Genomic DNA, 11,295 nt, shown 5'->3' on the forward strand with positions numbered 1-11,295 from the left:
GCTGATAAAATGTTTATTATTTTTTCCTGTAAATTCAGAAAAAAAAAACACAACAGTGCACACTGTCGTTATGATTTTGACGTTTTGGAGTTACTGGCCTATGCAATTAAACAAGAGAAAGAAAAAGATTTATGAAAAATGAAAGCTAAATTGTCATTAGCAAATGAAATACGTGTATACATGGAAAATCAAAGTTAATCAACTATAAAGCTCTTGTTTAGCAAACCAATAGTTTTCTTTCCTGCAAACAAAAATCAGAAAGTTCTCAATGTTATGCATGAAGGAAAAAAAATGATACGAATAAGTAAAGAGATACTTTTTTCACTAAGAAAATTTAGTAGGATAAAGACAACAAGATTCCCCAAATTATTATATACATTTGGAAATAAAATTGATCCCAATTTTTAAAATAACATGATTTTTTTCAAACCAATCTGATTCTAAAGTTTATATGGAAAATAAATATGTAAGAATATCTATTTAAAACAAGAGTAATGAATGGGAATAATGAATGGGATATTACATATAATATCACAATAATTAAAACAGTTTAGATTAACATTGGAATAGATAGGCTTAGTGAAAGAGAAAAGGTAACCCAAAAGTAGACATGAGTATGTACAGCAATTTAATTTATGGTTTAAAGAAATATCAATGTAAAGTAGTAGGGGAAATGATGAGTTACTCAGTGAAAAGTGTTGAGGCCGTAAATAGCCATCTGTGGAGCCTTATCTTTTTACATCAAAATCAGTTCTATATGAATTACATATTTAAGATACAACTATGAAAATATTAGATTAAAAAATAAGAGGATAACATTCAAATAATTGTGGAATAGGGAAGCCTTTTCTAAGCATTATAAAAAACTCAGAAACCATAAAACAAAATATTGACCAACTTGACTAAATAAGAATTAATACTTCCAGTTGGCAGACATTTAACTGGCAAAAATATTTGCAATGCAAAGTCCTAATCTCATTATTATACTGAGCTTAAAAAAATCAATAGGAAAAACAACCAAGAGATAACTGAGGAAGGATATTAATAGACACTTCATACAAAACAAATAAATATAAATATAGAAATAAAATTGACAGTGAGACATCACTTTTCATGTATCAAACCAACCAAATACAAAACCAAATGAACTCTTAAGGGAAACGGTGTGGTTATATGTACGAAAATTCAAATACACATGTACTTAATTTAGTCAGTTCTCTTCCAGGAATTTTTTCCTGTAAATGCAGTGCTGCAAGGGAATACGAGAGTGGGAGGAAACATCACCCCCAAAATAAACATAAGCTAAGCTCTTTACTGTGTTTTACACGTTGGTGAAGGCCCAACCATCCACCATGTTCTAAAGAAGGCTGATCAGTTCCACCTTTTTTCTCATCCTCGCTGGCCAATCTATCACCAAGTTCACCTAATCTGTCCACCTGAACACCACCCAAACGCATTTTAAATTATCATCTATTTCTGTCCTAATCTAGACTTTTATAGTCTTGATTATATTCAGCCTCCCTGCCTTCAGAGATGTTTGCCAGACTGAAGCTGGAATATTTCTTCTTAAACTACAGATTTCATCATGTTCACTCACTCAGTAGCATCCTGTTGCCCTTAGGTTAAAATTCAAACATTTAATCCAGGGTGTTCAAGAACTTGTTCACTAGGTCCTGTCATTCTTGTAGCCTGATCAAAACATTCCACTGGGAAGCACAATTTCTAAATAACTGGGACAATGGTTGGAACCTAGAGAAAATCCCAGGCATACAAGCCCTTTGAGTCTTGAAGGAAGAAGATACAGATGGAAGTCAGTGTTTGCAGAGCTGAAGAATGGTATCCAGCCTGCTTGGAATAGAAAAATGATTGTCTTTGCAGATGAGACTGAATACAGATCCTTGATGGGCTGGTAGCTGTGATAGAAGAAGGGGCTTCTCCCGCCCACTTTTTGACACAGATCAGGAAGAGGCTGGCTGTTGCCACTGAGGCCCATAGGAAGTTGCAGTGTTGGTCAGGATAGTCTCTTTCAGCTTACTTTTGAGAACAGAAAGACTTCTCATACAGTTCAACAGATTGGTCGAGCAAGCTTGCCTGCAAGTGTACCTTCCAGAGCTGCTACCTTGAAGTATGCTGATGCTCAGGAAACCAAACTCAATTGACATGGAAAGGCAAAGAAAGATGGCAAGCCATTTAAGAAATTGTGGTAGTTAAAAGAAAGGATTTGAAGGAAAAAAAGATGTATATACAAATATGTATGGAATGAGAAACCTTAAGAATACAACATCAGAGGAACTAAAAGAGTTCCTGGAAATTAAAATAAATGTGGTTTGAGGTTTTAAAATTTACAGAAAAAAATTATAAAATAGTCACATTAAAAAAAAAAAACTTAGATTGTTAGATCAGGCCAGGCGCGGTGGATCACGCCTGTAATCCCAGCACTTTGGGAGGCCGAGGTGGGTATCACTTGAGGCTAAGAGTTCAAGAGCAGCCTAGCCAACATGGTGAAACTTCATCTGTACTAAAAATACAAAAAATTAACTGGGCGTGGTGGTGTGCACCAGTAGTCTCAGCTCTCAGCTATTCGGGTAGCTGAGGCAGGAGAATCAGGAGGTAGAGGTTACAGTGAGGTAAGATCATGCCACTGCACTCCAGAGTGAGACTCTGTCTCAAAAAAAGAAAAAAAAAATTGTTAGATCAAATAAGGAGTATTTTTCATATAACAGAGGAAAAAAAACACAAAGAAATAGAAACCACGAATAAAAATATAAAAACCCAAAGAATGGGAATAATGTGCAGGCTAATAGTTTCCAGAGAAACACAAAGTGAAAAAGCAAACGTCAAAGAAATAATGTTTTAAAATTCTGAGCTGTAATAAAATTTGAATTTTCATATTTAAAATGGTGAGTTAGTTCCGAGAAATTTTTTTTGAAAAGAAGCACAAATATGTACATATCTTAGAGACCAGTTTCAACAAGTATAAATTTAAAATCATATACATTTTCATATATAATTTTTATGTTTCCTTGAAAAAGAGAATCTGACAGGCATCAGATTTCTCATTTGCAACCCTGGAATTGAAGAGGGTGAAACTATTTTTAACCCACTGAAAGATAAAGAATGCAATCCAAGAATCCTCTTCTAAATCAGATTTTATTAATATTTCTGATCCACTATGACATCTAGAACAATGTTTATTACAATTTTAAAAAATAGTTTACATGTACAACAGAGGTAAAACAGTTAAGTAAATTAGGGTATATCCACATTATGAACTCATATCTAATGTTTAAAATTGTTGAAAAGATCTTTAAGATATATAGTTAAATAAGAAATGGAATACAAAATGATCTCAACAGTGGAAAAATGCAGCTAATGTTTTCATCTTTTATTGAACTTTCTTTTTCCCCACTTTCTTCCTGGGTATCTCTTTTTTTTTAAAAAAAAAAGTACCTCTGAATGAGGTATATGCTGAAATTTTAAATGCTTGAAGATGATTAAAAAGCTATAGGTGAAATATGACAAGTAAGTAGTTTTAACTTATAGTTTTATTTAGGACCAAAAAGTTAGAATAGGACAGGACTCCACAGATTGTCTAGGTCAGTTTCCCAGTTTCTTACGTAAGAAGACTAAGGCCAAATTACCAAGTCAGTTAGAGGCAGGCTAGATCCCATGGCAAGAGGCCACATAGCAGATTTTGCCATGATGTGATAGAGTGTGTTCAAGTTTGATGATAATCCCCTTTTGAGTTCCCTGACCCACATTTCTCTCTTCCAATAATTTATTTCACCATAGAATCAAACGGATTAGTATAATGTCTTACAATTAATTACCTTTTAATAAATACAACAAAAACATTTTATGTACACGCAAGGGCTCTACTTGTATCTGTTCTTCATCTTCATTTGACGACGTGTGAATGCCAAGGAAAAAAAAGTACTTATACAGAAACATGCAAAAACCCCAGAAGAAAACAAGAAGAAAAACCATGAAGAAAAGGGGAGATGATTTAAGTGTCGCATTTAAGGTGTGGAAGGAATATCAAATGTTTATTATGTACCAAGTCCATTTCTAAGTTCTTTAAGTTTATTCATGAATACTCTCAAAATCTCAGTGAGGTAGATACTATTATTATCACCTCTATTTGGATGAATACAGGTATTGAGACTGAGAGTGGTTAAGTAACTCTGCCCAAGGTCACACGTCTAACTGCCATGAGAGTGTGTCTCCAGAGCAGAGCTTCTGCCTGCACCCATCAAATGTAAACTGTTTTTCAAAATAGCTTTGCTTGGTTTTGACTATGTAAAAAACAGAAGATAATACGTTCCTATGACCTTTCTCAACAGCAATGTTTTTATTAGCATCAAAAATGCTTTACTGAGGCACCTCCTCTGTGCAAGACCTAGCATCAAGTGTGGGATGGTTTGAGGAAATAACTTTCTTTTTAAAAAATGATTTCAACTTTTATTTTAGATTCAGTGGGTACATCTGCAGGTTTGTTAAATGGGTATATTGTATGGTGCTGAGGTTTGGGATATGGGAGATCCCATCGCCCAGATTGTAGTGAACATAGCACCCATATTCTTCATCCCTTCCTTCCGCCTTCTATAAGTCCCCAGAGTCCATTGTTGCCGGCTTTATGTTCATGAGCACCCAATATTTAGCTCCCACTTATAAGTGAGACTATGTGCTGTTTGGTTTTCTATTCCTGCATTAATTCACCTTAAGTTATGGCCTCCAGAGACATCCATGTTGCTGCAAAGGACATGATTTTGTTGTTTTTTTAATTTTTTATGGCTGTGTAGTATTCCGTGGTGTATAAGTTCCACATTTTCTTTTTCCAATCCTCCACTGAAGGGCACCTACGTTTATTTCATGTCTTTGCTATGGTGAATAATGCTGCAATGAACATATGGATGCATGTGTCTTTTGGTAAAATGGTTTATTTTCTTCTGGCTTGGATATATTCCCAGCAATGGGATTGCTGGGTTAATGGTAGTTATGTTTTAAGTCCTTTTTTTTTTTTCTTTTGAGATGGAGTCTTGCTCTTGTTGCCCAGGCTGGAGTGCAGTGGCACAATCTCGGCTCACTGCAACCTCTGCCTCCCAGGTTCATGCGATTCTCCTGCCTCAGCCTCCAGAGTAGCTGGGACTACAGATGCCCATCACCACACCCGGCTAATTTTTGTATTTTTAGTAGAGATGAGGTTTCACCATGTTGGCCAGGCTGACCTCAGGTGATCTGCCCACCTCGGCCTCCCAAAGTGCTGGGATTACAGGCGTGAGCCACCGTGCCTGGCTTATTTTTTAATTCCTTTGAGAAATCTCCAAATTGCTTTCCACAGGGACTGAACTAATTTCATTACCATCGACAGTGTATAAGTGTTCCTTTTTCTCTGCAGTCTCATCAGCATCTGTTGTTTTTTGATTTTTCAGTAATAGCCCTTCTGACTGGTGTAAGATGATATCTCATTATGGTGTTGACTTGCGTTCCTGTGATGGTTAGTGACGTTGAGCATTTTTTATATGCTTGTTTGCTGCTTGTATGTCATCTTTTGAGAAGTGTCTGTTCATGTCTTCTGCATATGGCTAGCCAGTTATCCCAGCCCCATATATTGAATAGGGAGTCATTTCCCCATTGCCTATTTGTGTTGACTTTGTCAACGATCAGATGGCTGTAGCTATGCAGCTTTATTTCTGGGTTCTCTATTCTGTTTCATTAGTCTATCTGTCTGTCTTTGTACCAGTACCATGCTGTTTTGGCTACTGGTAGCCTTATAGTATAGTTTGAAGTTCGGTAATGTGAGGCCTCTGGCTTTGTTCTTTTTGCTTAGAATTATTTTGGTTGTTTGGGTTCTTTTTTGGTTCCAAATGAATTTGACAATAGTTTCTTTCTAATTCTGCAAAAAATGACATTGGTAGTTTGATAGAAATAGGATTGAATCTGCAGATTGTTTTCAGCAGAATGGTCATTTTAACGGTATTGAGTCTTCCAATCCATGAACATAGAATGTGTTCCCATTTGCTTGTGTCATCTATGATTTCTTTCAGCAATGTTTTGTAGTTCTCCTTGTAGAGATTCTTCACCTCCTTGGTTAGATGTATTCCTAGGTATTTTATTCCTTTTGTCACTATGGTAATTTGGATTATGTTCTTGATTTGGCTCTCAGCTTGAACTTAATTGGTGTACAGAAATGCTACTGATTTTCATACCTTGATTTTGTATCCTGAAACTTTACTGAAGTCATTTGTCAGTTAGTTCTAGGAACCTTTTGATGGAGTCTTTAGGCTTTTTAAAGTATAGAATCATATCATCAGTGAAAAGAGATAATTTGACTTCTTCTTCTTCTCTTTGGATGCCTTTTATTTCTTTCTCTTGCTTGATTGCTCTGGCAAGGACTTCCAGTACTATGTTAGATAAGATTGGTGAGAATGGGCATCCTTGCCTTGTTCCAGTTCTCAAGGGGTATGCTTCCAACTTTTGCCAATTCAGTGATATTGGCCATGGATTTGTTATAGATGGCTCTTACTTTGAGATATATTCCCTTGATCCCTAGTTTGTTGAGGGTTTTTATCACAAAGGGATGTTGGATTTCATTGAAGGTTTTTTTCACCCCTGTTGAGCTGATCATATGGTTTTTGTTTTTAATTCTGTTTATGCAGTGAATCATATTTATTGATTTGCATACATAGACCCATCCTTGCTTCCCAGGAATGAAGCCTACTTGATTGTGGTGAATTAACTTTTTGATATGCTGCTCCATGTGGTTTGCTAGTATTTTGTTGTGGATTCTTGTGTCTATGTTCATCAGATATAGTGTGATCTATAGTTTTCTTTTTTCATTGTGTCTTTGCCTGGTTTTAGTATCAGGGTGATGTTGGCTTCATAGAATGAGTTAGGGAGGAGTCTCTCCTCCTGGATTTTTTTGAATTGTTTCAGTACAATTGGTACCAGCTCTTCTTTGCACATCTGGTAGAATTTGGCTGTGAATTCATCTGGTCCAGGTGATATGGTTTGGCTGTTTCCCCACTCAAATCTCACTTTGAATTGTAATAATCCCGATGTGTCAAGGGCGGGTGGGGCCTAATGGAGATAATTGAATCACGGGGGCAGTTTTCCTTATACCATTCTCGTGGTAGTGAATAAGTCTCATGAGATCTGATGATTTTAGAAATGGGAGTTCCCATGCACAAGCTCTCTTGCCAGCTACCACATAAGACATGCTTTTGCTTCTCCTTTGCCTTCCACCGTGATTGTGAGACCCCACCCCCCAGCCATGTGGAACTGTGAGTCCATTAAACCTCTTTCTTTTATAAGTTACCCAGTCTTGGGTATGTCTTTATTAGCAGCGTGAGAATAGACTAATGCACCAGGGGTTTTTTGTTTGTTTGGCAAATTTTTTATTACTGATTCAATTTCAGAACTTGATATAGGTGTGCTCAGGGTTTTGATTTCTTCCTAATTCAATCTTGGATGGTTGTGTGTTTCCAGAAGTTTATCCATTTTTGTTCATAATAGTCTCCGAGAATCTTTTGTATTTCTGTGAGATCAGTTGTAGTGTTACCTTTGTCATTTCTGATTGTGCTTATTTGGATCTTCTCTTTTTCTTTAACTTAGCTAGTGGTCTATTGATCTTATTTATCCTTTCAAAAAACCAACTTTTGGTTTCATTGATTCTTTGTATGGATTTTTTGGTCTCAATTTCACTTAGTCCTGATCTAATTTTGGTTATTTCTTTTTCTTCTGCTAGCTTTGGGTTGGTTTGTTCTTGTTTTTCTAGTTCCTCTAGGTGTGATGTTAGATCGTTAATTCGAGATCGCTCTAACTTTTTGAGGTAGGTATTTGGTGCTATAAATGTTCCTCTTAGTGCTGCTTTTGCTGCATCCAGGAGATTTTGGTATGTAGTGTCTCTTTTTTCATTTGAAATAACCTTCTTTAAAGTTTCTTTGAAGATGGTTTTGATGAAATCACAAAGTAACTATTGATTTAGCATTTTTTCTCCCACAACTCTATGTCACACAACAATAATCAACCATTAACAATGATTTTTTTAAATACAGTTTAGAAAAATCATCTTCACATGTGTAATATACTTAATCATTCTAACAATCCTAAAATGTGCTGTATTACCATCGTTGTTACACTATGGTTGGAAGTATCAGTCTGAAAGTTTAGTGTGCATCAGAATCACCTGCAGGGTGTGTTAAAATAGAGATCACCAGACCCTGTCCCTGATTCAGTTGGCACCAAATAATTTGCATTTCTAATAAGTTATCAGTTGATGCAGATGCTGCTGGCCAAGTACCGTAATGAGAACCACTGATTTAGAAAATTCTGACTTTAGGAATATTATCCCTTGTCTCTAGCTACTGCTAAGAGGAAAAAGCAACTTTTAAATCCAGGTTTTACTTATTTATTTATTTATTTATTTATTTATTTATTTATTTAGATCTCATGTCCACTTTAGCATACCACTGTTTCTCACCTTTGCCTTTTCACCAAGGTTTTGTTCTTAAGGCCTCAAAATTGTTCTTAAAATTATCCTTTCAATGTCCTCAGCCTAACAAGGATTTATAATGATGATCTTAAAATCAAAAGTTGGCTTTGAGTTTGTGGCTACTTTTTCTTTTAAATATGGCCATATTAGCTTTTCAAAGGAAATTTGGGAGACAGTTCATATTCAAACCATGTGCTTTGATATATTAATTTTGTTGAAAAAGTCTATTATAGGGAAATAATTTTGTTTTCATTATCAATCTTGGTGGCATAAATGCTCTTAAAGATTTTAGCTTAAGAACTTCATATTTTTTCAGGAAATATACTACAATTACTACTAAGTACGTGATGTGTCCTATTTTATTTAATTATTTTAATCAGCTGCTTCATCATTTTTTGTTTGTTTGTTTGCTTCTGGAAAAACACTCCAAAATCGGTCCCTAATTCAAAGAAAAAGGACAAGATGGAAGCTTCACTGTTAGAATATTTTTCTATGTATCCTATTAATTGTGACATTTGCATTCACTCCGAGGACAATGAAACAATGGCATTTGTATAAGCCTGTTTTTAAATTTTGTTTATTACTTTTTATTTGGAAATCTCAAATACAAAATTTGAAAGAGTGGTATAAAGCACTCACATATTTTTTACTCCGTTTCACCTATTAGCGTTCTATCTCTTTTGCCATTTGTTCTTTTTCTCTATCTGTGCACATATTACTGTTTTTCTGAATCATTCAAGAGTAAGTTGCACACATTGTAGCTCTTTCCCCCTAAATATTTCAGTATGTGTGTTAATCTGTTGGAAACTTCCAACCTATATTTGCTAATTTTTCCTTTCCTACCAATATGCAATCTACAGGGAGACATTAAGCCGTGCAAATATCCTGCTCTTCAGCAAATTTTCCTCCTTTAGGTTTAACACACATTAGTAATTTTTGCTTGAAGCAATCTTTACTGTTATGGATGCAAATTATCATGTTTTGAACTCCAGCTTTCCCTCTGTCTATTCACCAGTTGTTGCTCGTCATTCAAAATAAGAATGCCTCTCCCTCATTGATTGATTGATTGTGAGTATGGACTTAAGAATTCCTACTTTTTCAAGAGTTTATAATTCATTAATCTTAAAATGTCCCATTTTGGGCCAGTGGAGCATCTTCAAGCTAGCTATTGTGTCCTTGTGACACAACCCCACAAGTGTTTTGGGAATTTCTTAACTTTTTGACATAAAAGATATCCCAGGTTCATTTTGAATCTTCTCTGCTCCAGCCCTGAAATCAGTCATTTCTCTGAGGAGTTCTGGGTCCTTTTAGTGGATAATGGTCTTAGAGATCAAAGTACCCTAGAACTTAAAGTATAATAATAATAAAAAAAAAGAATGGGGAAAAGAAAGAAATCAAAGTGCATGTTACTGCTGGAGTGCCTTTGTATCTTGTCTCTTTCAGTATAAGAGCTAGGAAATATATGCATGTTTTACACACACACACACACACACGGGCACTCAGATATATATATGTATATATGTAGCTGTGTATATATATATATAATGTGTATATATATATATCATCACCATAGGGCTGTTCCTTGACTTCTCTCACTCCATATTTGTAACTCTTTTTACACTTGCTATTTCTTCACTCACTCCTGTAATACATCTAAAACAGTTTCAGAATTGAATTGCTCTGTCCATACCACAACATAAAATAACAATACAAAAAAAAAACACTAAAAAGAATTTAGATTGTGCTTTCAATTAATTCTCCCCCCAACTCCACCCAAGACTGAGGGCGTATAGTCAGTTACTGTGTTCATCACTTACTTGAGTTAGTGCTCCCCTACCCCTGCCAACTTTAATTCACTTGAAATGCATTTGGGTTCATTTATTTCCATTTGCTTTCGGTTTTACTTAGGTTGCTGCTATTGGTGCTGCTATTGTTTGCTTTGTTTTCTCTCCCATCATTGTTGACTTGTTTTTTGAATATGTAGAACATTAGAGAGCTTCTAAAAGTAAAAAAAAAAAATAAATACCAAAGGCTATATTCAGGGAAGTGTTAATCCTTCCCGTATGCCTCCATTCCAGTCTCCCTGTTCCTCTAACATAACCGGTGGTCATGATTTTCTAGTTTCTCTCTAATGTGTTTCTTTTTTAATAAAGATAAGCAGATTTTTTAGTAGCTTGTTGTGGTGATATATGCAAAGCAATTCTGAAATTATTTTAGATGTATTATAGGATTGTGGAATGGGTAACAGCAAGGAAGAACCTCGTGGTGATGGATTGAAATTAGAGTTATTGGTACAGATTTCATTATTTCCCTTTCCTTCTTACACGGAAGATAGCATACTGTATATGTTCTTTTGCACTATTTTTGTTTTTTGTTTGTACTGAATGATATATCCAGGAGATCATTCCATATCAGTTCCTAGAGATTGTCCTCATTCATCTATTGTTGCTCCATAGTTTACACGAAATGTGTACCATTGTTTTCTCATATGTTTGAATATTTACTTATCGGTATTTGCAATAGCAAATAATGCTGCAATGAATAACCTTAATAACCTTGAAAATATGTATTTTCTTGTTGTTGGAGCTATATCTCAGGGTAAATTTGCAGAAGTGGTAACGCATTTTGCTAAATATTGCCAAATCCTGCTCTAGAGGGACTGTGACATTTTGCATTCCCAGCAGTAATGTATTCCTTACAACTTTGCCTACATAATATATTGCTGAGCTTTTGGATTTTTTCTTTATTGCCAATTTGATGGAAGAGTTGATTTTTCTTGCATTTCTCTTATGAGTGAAATT

This window comes from Homo sapiens, chromosome 21 (genome assembly GCF_000001405.40).
Source record: "Homo sapiens chromosome 21, GRCh38.p14 Primary Assembly".
NCBI lineage: Eukaryota > Metazoa > Chordata > Mammalia > Primates > Hominidae > Homo > Homo sapiens.